Source organism: Homo sapiens, chromosome 20, assembly GCF_000001405.40.
Source record: "Homo sapiens chromosome 20, GRCh38.p14 Primary Assembly".
NCBI lineage: Eukaryota > Metazoa > Chordata > Mammalia > Primates > Hominidae > Homo > Homo sapiens.
In genome coordinates this window covers 11,148,567-11,165,757 of record NC_000020.11, presented here as the reverse complement: position 1 = coordinate 11,165,757, position 17,191 = coordinate 11,148,567, and the positions used below count along the sequence as shown (strand labels likewise).

Genomic DNA, 17,191 nt, shown 5'->3' with positions numbered 1-17,191 from the left:
GGTTGACTTTAATTAATACATTGTTTTTGTGCTCATGAAAACTGGTTAGCTCACACAAACAGCTTTAAAATCAAAATATGTTCTCAGAAACAAAGACAATGGAGGCCCTCAGGGTCACTTTTTCAAAAGCAATAACTTTTGTCCATCCCTTGAGGGAGTCACGAAGTCCTTGGGACAAATCTCTCCTAATTGTCATCAGTTTACCACAGAGCTTCCCAACCCTCTTTTTCAGTGCAGTCTGTAGGAGTTTTACGCACCATGATGCTATGGCTCCATCCAGACCTCCCAAGTCAGATTCTCTGGAGAAAGAGTCTGGACATCTGAACCTTTAAAAGCCCAGGTGATTCTGATGTAGCCCTGGTTGGAATGCCTGGTCCATTACACCTCTGTGACATGGCTCCTTTCTTCCTCTCCATGATCCTTCAGGTATGTGGAGATTTAGTAAATAAAGCAGTAACTCACAAATGGTTGTCTTAACTACACCAAACCTGAGTGTCTATTCTTTCTCAAAGTGTCATTGATCACATACCACAGGTTGGTATATTGCCCACTTCAATGGCTACATACATGCAACCAACAAACAATTCATTTTATATTCAAGGGTGCTGTAAATTTCTTAAAGAGCAATTAAACTATACACGTTTTGGGGGCCGGGGAGGTCACAGAAGCATTGATAAAGATTACGCATACATTAAAAAGAAAGAAAATCAAAGCTGGATATGAGAAGGGTCAAATAGGAGTCAGAGACTCAGTCAAGGCTCTGAGTCCAAAGTCAGAGATGGCTGAGAGGCAAAGGGAAGGCTGCATAAATGAAATAAGAATAAAGTGTCAAACCAAAACTCATCTTATTTGAATTTTTTTACAAAATAGAACAATTCTACCGTCACATTCTACCTTATATGATGCACATCACTATAAAATCATTTGAACTCTGTGAACAAGGATCTAAGAGATGTAAAGAGATATATTTTGAGAGACATAAAGTACTGACATTATCAAGCATTGGTAATTAACTAATTATTGGGGCCAGGTGCTGTGGCTTACGCCTGTAATCTCAGTACTTTGGGAGACCAAGGTGGGTGGATCACCTGAGGTCAGGAGTTCGAGATCAGCCTGGCCAACATGATGAAACCCTATCTCTATTAAAAATACCAAAAATTAGCCGGGCACGGTGGTGCATGTCTGTAACCCCAGCTACAGCTACTTAGGAGGCTGAGGCAGAAGAATTGCTTGAACCCGGGAGGCAGAGGTTGCAATGAGCCAAGATCATGCCACTACACTCTAGCCTGGGCAACAAGAGTGAAACTCCGTCTCAAAATAATAATAATAATTAACTAATTATTGACCCTTATTAGTTAATTCATTAACTGATTAATTCATATGTATTGTATCCACTATGCAGTAGTTATTACTATCACAGGTTTTTAAAAGACCCTGTCCTACGAGTTTATATCTAGTGAGATGACAATAAATAAATAAATACCATAATATGGTGCTGAGATATAATTCAAAGACAAGGGTATGGATGTCCAGACCTAGTCATGTGAGTCCTCTTGAGGTAAATCTTAAAAGAAAAGCAGGAAAAGGTAGAAAAGCAAAGGAGAGAGTTATAGAGAGAAAGAGAAAAGTCACATTTATGCATAGGCAGAAGTCACCAAAACACAGGATGAGAAAGATGCTTCTGAGTTTATAAAATTTAAGAAGTTCAGCTGGGCGTGGTGGCTCATGCCTGTAATCCCAGCCTTTTGGGAGGCTGAGGCAGGCGAATCACTTGAGGTCAGGAGTTTGAAACCAGCCTGGCCAACATGATAAAACTTCATCTCTACTAAACATACAAAAAATTAGCTGGCATGGTGGCGCACACCTGTAATCCCAGCTACTCAGGAGGCTGAGGCAGGAGAATCACTTGAACCCAAGAGGCAGATGTTGCAGTGAGCCAAGATTGCGCCACTGCACTCTAGCCTGGGTGACAGAGCGACACCCTGTTTCCACAACAAACAAACAAATAAACAAAACCCTCAGAAATTTAAAAAATTCAATATGATATAAACACAGAGCTCATGAATCCAGGAAAATCCTGTCTTCTTAGCTCACAAGTTCCCATTGCATTCTACCTCTCATCTACTCGACTTATATGTGTATCTTATGAGTTCCTGGAGGACAGGACTCTAAACACAGAAGCATATCCCCTGGTCTACCAGCGTCTCATACATACTTCCGATTGAATAAATTTCTTCCAGATCTATTGTAAGTGAGAAAAGTGAAGTTCAGGGAATTAAGGGGGACAGTCTAAGATCACACACTATTTAGTGGCTGAACCAGATAATAAAACAGGATCTTGGGAGCCACTGTTTGCCTACACAACAGCCCCCATGCAAGTCCTGAGTTAAAGGAGTCTTTGCAGCTTCCAGTGAATGTATCCATAGAATGTTAAGAATGGAAAGCTTGCTTGAATCCTAATTTCCTAAAGTAGATATTAACTGCTGGGATTATAAATTAATCATAGAGAATGAGTCTGAACCAATGACTCAGTAATTCAGGATTATTGTAATATTAACTAAACCCATTTGTAAGAGCTGTTCACTTTTTCCTAGTATACAAATAAGTAATGCTTTAAAAAATTGTAACTTTACATTTTATAAGCATAATTAAATAAGTAATTAAAGCAGATTATAATGGGAAAAAAATGGATCTTCACCCATCCTTAAAGTAATGAATTATTGCCCACAGAGTTCTAAGAATTTATCAAAGACAGAAAAAGAAAGGGATTCAAAATCTTGGGTAAATATTCTCATAAAACCATGAAGACAGAATCAACAATGTCCCACCAACCCTCAAATCTAACACCCAGATATTAATGATATATTTCTCTCAGATCCATGTTGTCATAGAAACAACACTTTTCAAGCAATACCATCTGCCAAAGAAGGAAGCTGGTAGTAATTTTCAATCAGTGCTTAAAATTTTCAATGTTGAGGCTTAGTGCTTTTTCCTCTCAGTTCTGCATCTGGTATGCATAGCTCTATTATTTACAACTGACCTCTTCCCCAGTTTTTTTTTAATTGGTTTATAACAAAACCTTTCATCATGATCATTTCCCTGGACTCCATTGCTGGATCAACCCCTGTGGCCTTGCCCTGGTTACTCAAAGTCTAACACAATTCATGTGAACAGGCACTTAGTGAATGTTGGCTATACCCCCAGCTCTTCGCTTATTCTGGGACTGTGGGGGATGCTCAATGAGCTCTTCAGAGTGGAGGGATGAACAAACACCTAGCATCTATGAATCCATGCAAAGGAATGAAAGGGCAATGCAGAGGTGCAAAGTAGGAACCTGTGTGCAGAGGGATGATGAAGGCTGACAAGGAGTAGAGCTCAGTTTCGGAGGAGTTGTTATTAATATTTATCTGGTCCTTGAATATTCAGTAGAATTTCAATTAGCGTGCCTTGAATGCTCTGCACATGTGTTTGGATTGTTTCTATAAGCCATGGGGAGCCATTAACAATAACTAAGCAGAATTATTTAAGGGAACAGCTCTGGCAGCAGAGCCAATGGAGAAGTGAGGGTGAAAGGCAGAGAGAGAAACATTAAGAGGTTCTCTAGGAGATACTCACAGCAGCAGCTGCTGCATCACCTGGGAGTTTGTTAAAAACACAGAATTTCAGGCTCCATCCCAGACCTACGAACCTAGAATCTCCTGTTTCAGTCAAATCCCTGGAAGAGTAGAGTATGAAAGACACTGGTCTAACAGAAAATGTTGCATATTCCCATCTTGGCAAGGTTAGGGACCATAACTCTGAGTAACGCTGGATTTCAGAGAGCTAGGCCTGTCCCAAAGCTCTGAGTGAAGAGCAAAGGAAATGTGAAATTATTACTAATATTAATAATGGGGGCAAACTCTGGAAGTGGGGGATAATGCAAAGGCTGAAGGACCTCAAGTACAGGTGGGAAATAAGAATTTGCTAAGAAATGAAAGGGCCACGAAAGTGAATAGAAGAGACAAAGTTATGGCTGGAGTTAGGGCATCTGAAGAAACTGCAGAAGGCAGCTGAGATGGCAAAGGAATCTGGTATGGAACAGCTGCCAGGAGGCTTTGAGTGAGGGGTGTATCCATGTGGGGGCAGGAGGTGGGGGTATGAGGACACTGGTTTGCACTAGATGCCAAGTAGTTTCAACTTGGTGAACAGAAAGGAGGGAATTTCAGAGTCACAATAGAGGGATGGTCTATAAGTTTGAGTGACAAATTGTATGCACAGAGGGAGGAAGAAGGAGATGCTGAAAATGAATGACACCTATTTTTCCAACCTGCCTAATTGCAGTAAGGCAATGCCAACTACATACGAAATTAAATGCATGGAACACAGAAAACCTTATATCACTGATAAGCAAAACTCTAGAATATTTTTTTCAGAAAGTACACACAATCTACCCCTGGTGACTTTAGTGTCACCGAAGTGTCACACCTTTAAGAATGAGTAAAAATATCTAATTTGTATTGAGTACTGGTAAAAAACATGATTTAAAATGCTTAAAATGCCCATTATAAACCTCATAACTCCATGAAGCACGCTCGGTTATTACACTCATTTTACAGGTAAGGAAACTGAGGCATGGAAGGGCTACTTAACTTGCCAAAGGCAAAAATTAGTGTTAAAATCAATATTTGGACTTGGTTAGTGGTGTCATAGCCAGTCATCATCATCACTATGCTAGGCGGCATCCCCTTCCTCCCTGACATCTTCATCCTATTATTTAGCCTACAGGCCATTTCTAAGGTCAAACAGGTACCAAGTTTTATATACCAAAAAAATCTGGTATAAAGATTGTGGAGTTCCTCAGAAGACGGTGTGTCTCTAAATCTCAGAAATTACTTTTCTGAATGGAAAAACATTAAAGGGAAATATGTCTTAGAAATAGTAAGATGGCTATATAAATTAGGATAGAATCAGTTCCTGATTATCTGCATTTATTGATGATAGTGTTGGCAGAAACCATTGAAATCCCTCAAACTTTAACAGCCATGTCAATGACTGATTTTTCTGTACTCTCTAATCTAGATCCCAGGTATTTTCAGAGTAGCCTCATGAAAAAGGGAAAAAGTAAAGTATTGTAAGAAACTAAGGATAGATTAATAAAAATGTTGGGTAACTACTAGGCACGTTGCTCGGATGCAGCTTTCCTGAAGTTCAGATCCATCTTCATTTTCCCTACATGCCAACCATATATGAACGGCAAACCACTTATAGCTTATCCATCAGTTCTCCTATCTGCAAATTGGGGTCAGTAATAGCATTTATTTGTAAGTATTGTTGGAGGGAACTAAATGACATAATTAAAGAGGGGCACATAGTAAACACCCAATAATATGATAATCATCAGGTCAGTCATCAAGACCAATACATAAAAATTAAATTGAAAATGACTACTCCTCTTTTACAAACTGTCCACCAGATTGAAGTATATCTGTCTCAGTCTTAATCTCTCTTAATTGTGGGTTGAAAGATGAAGCCCAGGTTGGCAGGAAAAAACTCTTTTCATTTTTCTTTAAATGAGCTCCAGAAGTCTTTTTTCCTTGGCCACTGTTATTTACTCTGGCAGTCAAAGTTAGCAGCAAGAACTATTAGCAAAAACCCCCAAATCACATGGATATCAATAGAATAAAACCTTCCAAGATTCCATATCCTGCTTATGCCTCAAATCCAGAAACATCACTGACCTCCTTTTAGCACTGACTGATGACAATGCAGATATTTCAGGCTGCAGTTCCTTGCACACTACGGCCTGTCTGAGTTTGTTTTGCCCCTGGACTATTTTTGCTCACATGGTTGCTCTCAGCCGCAGACACTCAAATGGAAACCAGAGTGATCCAAATGCTTGGGAGGAACTTATAAACAAACGTAGGAAGAAGCATCTCGTCTGACCACGGCGCCCACAGCAGTTTCTGTAGACAGAATATAAGGAGCTGGAAATCCAGCCCCTACTAGTTAAGAACTTGCCTTAAATCTTTCTTAGGTATTTCAATATTTCACACCAGGATGGAAGGATGGAAATTGAGAGGAGCAGGTTGGGAAGAGCTTATTAATAGTGTGTGCATGTGTGTGTGTGTGTGTGTGTGTGTGTGTGTACCTAAATATTTTTTTTGGCGGGAAAGGTGGCCTGGAAGGGCTAGGTGCCTGCCATTCTGTGCTTGGAGAGAAAATACAGGACCAGGCACAGTGGCTCACACTTGTAATCCTAGTGCTTAGGGAGGCTGAAGCGGGATGACTGCTTGAAGCCAGGAATTAGAGACCAGCCTGGGCACCAGAGTGAGACCTTATCTCTACAAAAAATGAGAAAATTATCTGGGCATGGCCGCACGTGCCTGAAGTCCCAGCAACTCAGGAGGCTGAGGTGGGAAGGTTGCTTGAGCGCAACAGTTCCAGTTTGCAGTGAGCTATGATCATGCCACTGAAAACAAAAACAAAAACAAAAACAAAAAAAAAGGAAGAAAATACAAATAGGGTATTTTTTAAAACTAAAAGGCAACCCCTTCCCCCACAAAAAAAGAAAAAAAGAAACAGGTCCCTATGTTTAGAAACTTCCAGAAAAACCTCAGACTAAATTCAGGTGTCTTCCTTTTAATTAAGAAAAGAAAATGGTTAAAATAGACTCTAAACATTATATGAGTGGTATTTATTTGGAGATCATTAGTACCCCAAAGCCACCTTGCAAATATCCAAACACCATTAACTTAAACAGAACACCTTAATTCTGTAGAGCTCAGAAATGTGGGAATACACACAGTACAAGGCATTCCAAACTTCTATCCTTTCTCTCAAAGTACCTGGCTCTTTCTTCTCTCCTCCCTACTCCACTTCCTATTGGACCATAGTCAGCCAAGAAAGTGATGCAAAATAAGGAAAGGAGGTGGCCCAAACCATGAGGCTGCTCTGGCAAAATCCTCTGATTGGAGCATAAACCGTACCTACCAATGGCTTCATTCATCCAGTCTTGATTCATATCAACTCTTCTGTACATTGTCACCTTTGAAGGATTTCCAGCCACAAACCTCCAATGCTTGCACGCTAGAGAGAAACAGAACAGACAGTGTTATCTGGGACCCTGCTATCCTTGATCAGAATGTCAGGCCTCTGGATCTAAACATATAAAAATAAAAAGGAGAAAACAATTCTGCACAAAAGCAGTAAGAAAACTAGAAGGAATCCTTTCTTTCACAAATGGCCAAATCTTTAAACGTGTGTCTATTAAATACATCTTTTAAGACTAAAAAATGACATGCAGCCTGCCAAAACAAAATCAGGTTATAGAACATTTTCACCTTTTCGCCTTCCAACAAATTGCTTGTTTTCCCATCTGAACAATAACCTTATTGTTTGCACTAAAGTACAGTACATGACTAGTCATGTTAGGAAGTGAATGAATTGTTGTGCTGTCAACATGATTTTTTTCCCACATACCTATTATATCTAGGAATTCCTTCCAAAGTTAGAAACTTTGAAGAAAATGCACACTGCTTTCATCTGCTTGTATTATTTAGAGTTATATTGACATTTAGATTAGAGCTGCTTAGTAATGTGAATTTTATTGTTGTTATTGTTATTATTTGCACAGGTTTCTGAATATACACTCTGAACTCTTGTCAAAGTCTGATGAGAATTTGGGTTTATAGTACTTTGCATGTTTTATTTAAGCCCAGGTTGTAACTTTCTGTAAAACTTCAGTTTACTTACCGGTACAGGAATATACGAAGACATCATAAAGGTTTACACCTGAAATAAGACACTCCGAATCCTTTCCATCCCTTTCCTTTCTTATTGAACTTAATAATTCAGGAGTCTACTGACAAAGAAGAGGAGGTATAAGACATCCAGCTGGGTCTGATCTGGAGAAATGGAAACAAATCAAATATTTTAATAGTAAATCAGAACGAAAAGTTCTGTTGATAACATGTAGAGCTCAGATATTAATTCAACATTCTGTCAAGCATGGCAAACAAAAACGTTCATATCTTCCTACTCTGTTTGTTGATGGCTGTAAATAACAAGTCAGACAGTCATAGAAACTTGGACATGCAGCTGGGTGAAATAAGTTCCATTCAGCATTCATTTCCAACTTCAGCCAATCTCATGACCACACTAATGAACACCTAAACACCCTCACATGTCCCACTTAAGATGCCCATAAAACTCTTACCGTGTGGACCAACCAGCCTTCAGCACGTACCCTTCATTTTAATCTGCTTTTCATTCTATGTTCCTCCTTGTCTTTCTTCAAGTTTCAAAGGGGTAATGCGTATGAAAAATAAATTTACCCTTAGGTTCTTGGTATGCTCAGAGTTCTAAGGCTAGATCAGATTTGCATTAAGACCGCAACATACATGCATCAATATGCTTTCTTGAACCCCTGCCGAAATCTACACACAACAGATGAGTAATGAGTCTTGGAGAAAAGTGAAATCTGTCAATCTGATTATTTTCTGTCTTGGGTGAGAGACAACCTAAATGCTGCTCCCCACCTCACTCTCCCAGCCCTCCAACAGGCCAGCCCTGGCATGTTCTCCTAGCAAAGGCAGAAGCACATAGTTGAAAGCAGAAACATAGAAGCGAAGTTGGTTTTCAAGCCTCTGCATGTGTCCCATATGCTAATATCTCATTGGCCAAAACTAGTCACATGGCCACAGTCAGAATCAAGGGGTAGGGAAATCGGCTCCACCACCTTATGTGTCAGAGTTGTGAATGCAGGAAGGGGAAAATAATTGGGGTCCTTAGTGCAATGAATCCACGATGGTCATTGATGTATTCACAGACACAGGTAATAGAAGGACCCAGGAATAGTTTGAGTCAGAGATAAAACTCACTCACTTCTCTCAGGTCTCCAGATTTCTGATTTGCTCCTCGTTTTCTGACATCCACTGCCTTTTTTGACTGAAGAACAATGAAATGAGTTATAAAAGTGTCCCATAATCAATTTCAATATTATCAAATATGACTCATACTCTCTAAAATAGTGCCTAAGAATACTTATCTATTAAGTAAATGTAAAGAGCTTTGAACCAAACTTAAAAATCTTTATTCCTAGTAAGATTTTATATCATTAGAGGGCATCATGCAAGCCGGGCAAGTATCAGACAAAGAAAAGCCTAAACTCTGATGGCTGGAGACATTTACAATCTACTGAGTTACCAGATTAAGCAAATAAAAATACAAGGTGCCCAGTTAAATCTGAATTTCATACACAAAGGCTATTTTTGTCATGCGTATTTCTAGGGGTACACTTACACTAAAAAAATCCTTATTTATCTGAAATTTAATTGTAACTGGTTATCCTCTATTTTATCTGACAACCCTAAATCTACCATGAGATTTAAGATATACACAAACCATCAGTAACAAGGAGTGATATTCTTGAAGATTTTTTCAAGGAGAATTGCTGTAAGTATTCAGAATAAAGACACTAATTTTATAATGAAAAGTATTGTTGAATTTGGCATATAAGTTAATGTTTTCCAAAAAAAACTTTTCCATAAAGTTATATTAATAAAGCACAGTAGGATTTCATATTTCATATGTATATATGACCATTAATTTCACCATAGGGAGTGAGTGAATAGAAATTGAACCTTATCAGTGTTCATGTAGTCATTAAAATTCTGGGGCTGCTCTGTGCCTTTGATGGACTTGAAAGTGAAAACAGAGCAGGACCCCTTGATTCCCCAAGCCACTGTGGAAAAGTCTAGCCCACAGAGTAGATGTGATAAGAGGATATAGATTTTGTGGCCCTAACAATTTATTCTCAGCGTCTTTCAAAGTGTTCACTGGCAAGAAAACAATACTCGTGGATTCAATTCTATACACCCACCTCCTAAGAACCTCAGCCACAATGCCCGTGACCACCATATCAGAGCTCATTGCTTGAAGTAAGAAGCAAATGGATAGCTGGGAGAATCCAAAATTGTAAAAACAATTAATAAATAAATTTAAATTTAAAATAAAAAGTTAAGTAGATGCAAGAGATTTGTGTTGCTATGAGTCAATAGACAAGATGAAGAGTTAATATTTGTCTGCTTTTGTAACAGCTGTCAGTGGGAAGGAATTTAAAAAAAAATCATCAACAAAAAAACTTCCTCCTCAATCTGGGCAAGCTATCTGTTAAACCTGGTTTCCATTAAATGTTTGTTAATTCAGTTTATAAAAGCCAAAGCCCAATGGCCACCATCTGTACACACAGTAGAGGCTGTATGTGTACAGGCTGGCATTCTGCCAGTATATAGTGTCCTATGGACTGGTATCTTGTAGGTAAACATTGTTTGAATCTCAAATAATCAAAAATTAAAAAAAATATTTTTATGGCTCCAATAGTCTTATAATGCAAGACAAATATTGAATTTCCTGTGCTCAGTTCCTGTGTTCAGGCTGTGGACCTTCTTGTTGGCAACTGAATGTGAGTGGGGGTTTGTTTTACCATTTCATTAGGTCAAAGTTTTCACTTCCGCTAGGAAGGCAAAGGAAGTTGCCTTTGAGGGAGAATCAATTCCATGTTATAAGTTTTATTGTCACTGGACTAGAGCATTACATTTAGTAAAATTTCTCATATTACAGGATGCTGACTTTGAAGTTAAATGTTGAATATGTATAACTTTTACACATAAGTATCTAATGGACATGTCATGTATTATTTATAAATGTGCTATAAATATACACAAAGAAATACAAAAATAGTGGTAAATAATAACAGTGGTATAAATTACATAATAAACTATATCCCAATACAAAGAGTGATTATCATAATTATTAATATATGCTACAAGAAAAAACATTGAAGGGAGAGGTAAAAGTGAAAATATTCACTTTTTTCCTGGCTTCCATTTGCTCTATACATCTTTACTACACAAACTTTCTCCCTTCCCACTTCACCAGTATCAGACAGTGAAAGTAGTTGACATTGGTTCTCTCACTCTGCCAGTCAGAAAGTCTAATTGGACATCCTCTAGGTGCTATGCACTACGCTAGATAGTGTGGATGATATAGAGCAAGTGTCAGACATGTCTCTGGTCTCCGGCTGATTACTATCCACTTATAACGTCCCCACAATGGCTCTGCCCTGGGGTTTTGTCACTTATATAAAAGGCTTTTCCTCATCAGCATGGTGACCCATGGTCGATGAGCATCTCATTGGGTGGCTATGGTGAGAATGGCTAATACAGAGAGCAATCTTATTGATCTTTCTTCTTCAAGAATTATTTATCAAGTATTCACCATGCCCCATTGCATATGTCAATATTTGTTCTTGAGTGTGTATAGGTGTGTGTGTGCATGTGTACATGTATAAGAAAGGAGAGAGAGATTGAGACTGACTGTATTTGTCAGTTTAACTTAAATTGCTCCAACCTGAAAGAGTCAATGCAGCATTCCAAATGGTCCACAACTGAGTACTTTCTCCATCAAATAAAGGAGGCAATTAAGATATTTAAAATCAGAATAAATGTTTGAGATAATGTGGAACAAACAATAGGTTAATTGACTGTTGCTGTTGATTGTTTTGTTTGGTTTTGCTTCCCAGTGTTAACTGTTCCCAGTGTTAACTGTTGCCATGATATTCTGTGGATGTCATTTAATTCCTAGTCCAAGACGTCACTAAAGCATGGGGAGAATGCAGTTTGTTGGTGAAAAATTTATCTGTATGCAATACTCATGTGGACTTTATTCCTATTAAAATAATATGCTTTGTTTAGCCAATGAATTGAAATTTTAAAAAAATTCCTTTGTGCTAAAGTCATCCCTGTATTTTATTTCAAGACAAACCCAAATACCTTATAAGCAAAGAGAAACATTCAGTTAGCCCTTTGTCAAACTCTGGCATATTGATTTCTTAAAACAAACATGTTTTCTTTTGTTTTCTTACACATACCTTTTACTGAGTTATTATTCAGCCAAATACTTTTCCATTTGAACAAGTGGCAAAGCCAAGAGGCTGTAACAAATGAGACAATTCAGGCATACTATATGGAGCTGTGTTCTAGGAGGATAATTGTGGATTTGGGATCTAAAGACCAAGTTTCAATGTCAGTTCTACGTCTTCCTTGATTGACATTGGGCAGGTCATTCAATGTCTTCTAGGCCTCTGTCCTCAGCCTAAAGGTAAAGATGATGCTTATAGTGCTTTGGGGAAGGCTGATAAGAGAAGGTATGCAAAAACACATCACAGGATATGTAAAGGCAGAGGAATTCAGTGATACAGTTTCTGGGACTCTGTGTAAAGTAGCAGAGCTATCCAGAAGTCCTCAGAAGAATAATTTTTATTCTCTCTTGACCTCTGGATCGACATCACCTTGCCTTGTAGCAGCTTCAAGTTTTACACGCTGAACCCTCAAGAAGAACCTGAATCAACCACAGTAATATTGAAGAGTATTCAATATTTTCTTAAATAGTAAGAAGATATTGATGGTTAAGTCAATAATAAAAAAATTATTAATAACGTATCCTCTATCAACTTAAAGCTATAATACTGTAATGTGCCTTACTTTTAAAATCACGATTCCCAGGCAAGATGGCCAAAAAGGAACAGCTTCTGTCTGCAGCTCCCAGCAAGACCAATGCAGAAGGTGGGTGATTTCTGCATTTCCAACTGAGGTACCCGGCTCATCTCACTGGGACTGATTAGACAATGGGTGCAGCCCATGGAGGGCAAGCAGAAGCAGGGCAGAGCATTGCTTCACCTGAGAAGTGCAAGGAGTCAGGGAACTCCCTCCCCTAGCCAAAGGAAGCCATGAGGGACTGTGTCTTGAGGAATGGTGCATTCCAGCCCAGATATTACGCTTTTCCCATGGTCTTCACAACCCACAGGCCAGGAGATTCCCTCAGGTGTCTACACCACCAGGGCCTTAGGTTTCAAGCACAAAACTGGGCAGCCATTTGGGCAGACACCGAGCTACCCACAGGAGTTTATTTTGTACACCAATGACACGTGGAATGCCAGCAAGACAGAACCGTTCACTCCCCTGGAAAGGGGATTGAAGCCAGGGAGCCAAGTAGTCTTGCTCAGCGGATCCCATCCCCACGGAGCCCAGCAAGCTAAGATCCACTGGCTTGAAATTCTCTCTGCCAGAACAGCAGTCTGAAGTCGACCTGGGATGCTCGAGTTTTGTAGGGGGTGGGGCATCTACCATTACTGAGGTTTGAATAGGCAGTTTTCCCCTCACAGTGTAAACAAAGCTGCCTGGAAGTTTGGACTGGGCAGAGCCCACCACAGCGCTGCAAAGCCATTGTAGTCAGACTGCCTCTCTAGATTCCTCCTCTCTGAGCAGGGCATCTCTGAAAGAAAGGTGGCAGCCCCAGTATGTCTCCCATCTCCCTGGGACAGAGCACCTGGGAGAAGGGGCAGCTCTGGGCACAGCTTCAGCAGACTTAAACTTTCCTGCCTGCCTGCTCTGAAGAGAACAGCTAACCTCCCAGCACAGCACTCGAGCTCTGCTAAGGGACAGATTGCATCCTCAAGTGGGTCCCTGACCCCCATGCCTCCTGACTGGGAGACACCTCCCAGCAGGGGTTGACAGACACCTCATACAGGAGAGCTCTGGCTGGCATCTGGTGGGCACCCCTCTGGGAAGAAGCTTCCAGAGGAAGGAGCAGGCAGCAATCTTTGCTGTTCTGCAGCCTCCACTGGTGATACCCAGGCAAACAGGATCTGGAGTGGACCTCCAGCAAACTCCAACAGACCTGCAGAAGAGGGTCCTGACTGTTAGAAGGAAAACTAACAGCATCAACATCAACAAAAAGGATGACCATGCAAAAACCACATCCAAAGGTCACCAACAGCAAAGACCAAAGGTAGATAAATCCACAAAGATGAGGAAAAACCAGTGCAAAAAGGCCACAAATTCCAAAAACCAGAATGTGTCTTCTCCTCCAAAGGATCACAACTCCTCAACAGCAAAGGAACAAAACTGGATGGAGAATGAGTTTGACAAATTGACAGAAGTAGGATTCAGAAGGTGAGTAATAACAAACTCTTCCAAGCTAAAGGACCACATTCTAACCAAATGCAAGGTAGCGAAGAACCTTGATAAAAGGTTAGAGGAATTGCTAACTAGAATAGCCAATTTAGAGAAGAACATAGATGACCTGATGGAACTGAAAAACACAGCATGATAACTTCGTGAAGCATACACAAGTATCAGTAGCCAATTCGATCAAGTGGAAGAAAGGATATCAGATATTGAAGATAAACTTAATGAAATAAAGCATGAAGACAAAATTAGAGAAAAAAGAATGAAAAAGAAGGAACAAAGCCTCCAAGAAATATGGGAATATGTGAAAAGACCAAACCTACGTTTGATTGGTGTACCTGAAAGTGACGGGGAGAATGGAACCAAGTTGGAAAATACACTTCAGGATACTATACAGGAGAACTTCCCCAATCTAGCAAGACAGGCCAACATTCAAATTCAGGAAATACAGAGAACACCACAAAGATACTCCTCGAGAAGAGCAACCCCAAGACACATAATTGGTAGATTCACCAAGGTTGAAATGAAGGAAAAACGGTTAAGGGCAGTCAGAGAGAAAAGTAGGGTTACCCACAAAGGGAAGCTCATCAGACTAACAGCAGATCTCTCTGCAGAAACCCTACAAGGCAGAAGAGAGTGGGGGTCAATATTAAACATTCTTAAAGAAATGAATTTTCAACCCAGAATTTCATATCCAGCCAAACTGAGCTTCATAAGTGAAGGAGAAATAAAATGCTTTACAGACAAGCAAATGTTGAGGGATTTCGCCAATACCAGGCCTGCCTTACAGGAGCTCCTGAAGGAAGCACTAAATATAGAAAGGAAAAACCGGTACCGGCCACTGCAAAAGCAAATCAAAAAGTAAAGACCATCGACCCTATGAAGAAACTTCACCAACTAATGGGCAAAATAAGCAGCTAGCATCATAATGACGGGATCAAATTCACACATAACAATATTAACCTTAAATGTAAATGGGCTAAATGCCCCAATTAAAAGTCACAGACTGACAAATTGAGTAAAGAGTCAAGACCCATTGGTGTGCTGTGTTCAGGAGACCCATCTCATGTGCAAAGACACACATAGGCTCAAAATAAAGAGATGGAGGAAAATTTACAAAGCAAATGGAAAGCAAACAAAAAGCAGGGATTGCAATCCTAGTCTCTGGCAAAACAGACTTTAAACCAACAAAGATCAAAAAAGACAAAGAAGGGCATCGCATAATTATAAACAGATCAATGCAACAAGAAGAGCTAACTATCCTAAACATATATGCACCCAATACAGGAGCACCCAGATTGATACAGCAAGTTCTTAGAGACCTACAAAGAGACTTAGACTCCCACACAATAGTAGTGGGAGACTTTAACACCCCACTGTCAATATTAGACAGAATAACAAGACAGAAAATTAAGAAGGATATTCAGGACTTGAACTCAGCTCTAGACCAAGCAGACCTAATAGACATCTACAGAACTCTCCACCCCAAATCAACAGAATACACATTCTTCTCAGCACCACATAGCACTTATTCTAAAATCGACCATGTAACTGGAAGTAAAACACTCCTCAGCAAATGCAAAAGAATGGAAATCATAACAAAGAGTCTCTCAGACCACAGTGCAATCAAATTAGAACTCAGGATTAAAAAACTCACTGAAAATCACACAACTGAAAAACCTGCCCCTGAATGACTACTAGGTAAATAGGGAAATGAAGGCAGAAATAAATAAGTTCTTTGAAACCAATGAGAAGAAAAACATCATGTACCAGAATCTCTGGGACACAGCTAAAGCAGTGTTTAGAGGGAAATTTATAGCACTAAATGCCCACAGGAGAAAGCGGGAAAGAGCTAAAATCAACACCCTAACGTCACAATTAAAAGAACTAGAGAAGCAAGAGTCAACAAATTCAAAAGCTAGCGGAAGACAAGAAATAACTAAGATCAGAGCAGAACTGAAGTAGATAGAGACACGAAAAACCCTTCAAAAAATCAGTAAATCCAGGAGCTGTTTTTTTTTAAAAGATGAACCAAATAGATAGACTGCTAGCCAGATTAATGAAGAAGAAAAGAGAGAAGAATCAAATAGACACAATGAAAATGATAAAGTGGAGATCACCACAGATCCCACAGAAACGCAATCTACCATCAGCGAATACTATAAACACCTCTACACAAGTAAACTAGAAAATCTAAAAGAAATGGATAAATTCCTGGACACATACACACTCCCAAGATAAACTAGGAGGAAGAAGTCAAATCCCAGAATAGACCAATAACAAGATCTGAAATTGAGGCAGTAATTAATAGCTTACCAACCAAAAAAAGCCCAGGACTAGACAGATTCACAGCCTAATACTACCAGAGAAGAAACTGGTGCCATTCCTTCTGAAACCTTTCCAAAAAATAGAAAAAGAGTGACTCCTCCCTAACTCATTTTATGAGACCAGCATCATCCTGATATCAAAGCCTGGCAGAGCACAACATAAAAAGAAAATTTCAGGCCAATATCTCTGAGGAACCTCAATGTGAAAATCCTCAATCAAATACTGGCACACCGAATCCAGCAGCACATTAAAAAGCTTATCCACCGCGACCAAGTCGGTCTCATCCCTGGGATGAAAGTCTGGTTCAACATACACAAATCAATAAATGTAATCCATCACATAAACAGCACCAATGACAAAAACCACATGATTATCTCAATAGATGCAGAAAAGGTCTTCAATAAAGTTCAGCACACCTTCATGCTAAAAACTCTCAATAAACTAAGCATTGATGGAACATATTTCAAAATATTAAGGCCTATTTATAACAAACCCACAGCCAATATAATACTGAATGGGCAAAAGCTGGAAGCATTCCTTTTGAAAACTCACAGACACACAGACACAAACCCACAGACACACAGACACACAGACACACAGACACAAACCCACAGACACACAGACACAAACCCACAGACAGACAGACACAAGACAAGGATGCCCTCTGTCACCACTCCTATTCAACATAGTATTGGAAGTTCTGGACAGGGCAATCAGGCAAGAGAAAGAAATAAGGGGTATTCAAATAGGAGGAGAGAAGGTCAAATTGTCTCTGTTTGCAGATGATATTATTGTATATTTAGAAAACCCCATCATCTCAGCCCAAAAACTCCTTAAGCTGATAAGCAAATTTGGCA

General features: G+C 39.6%; 1 long non-coding RNA gene across 2 annotated transcripts, besides 1 other annotated feature; it reads right to left on the bottom strand.

Moving 5' to 3' along the window:
* Nucleotides 1-6,537: 6,537 nt before the first annotated feature.
* Nucleotides 6,538-8,919, bottom strand: LOC105372527 (uncharacterized). Of its 2 annotated transcripts, none has more exons than XR_001754710.1 (3): nt 8,863-8,919; nt 7,732-7,883; nt 6,538-7,065 (listed from the first exon to the last, which is right to left on the bottom strand). It is a non-coding gene; the product is annotated as an uncharacterized LOC105372527 (long non-coding RNA). The 2 variants fall into 2 exon arrangements; XR_937259.2 differs by lacking the exon at nt 8,863-8,919 and adding an exon at nt 8,195-8,273.
* Nucleotides 10,303-10,597: an enhancer, noted in NCBI's record as "tiled region #14734; HepG2 Activating non-DNase unmatched - State 22:ReprW". NCBI's record gives its function as "activates a minimal TATA promoter and a strong SV40 promoter by Sharpr-MPRA in HepG2 cells {active_cell/tissue: HepG2}" and the evidence as "EXISTENCE:reporter gene assay evidence [ECO:0000049][PMID:27701403]".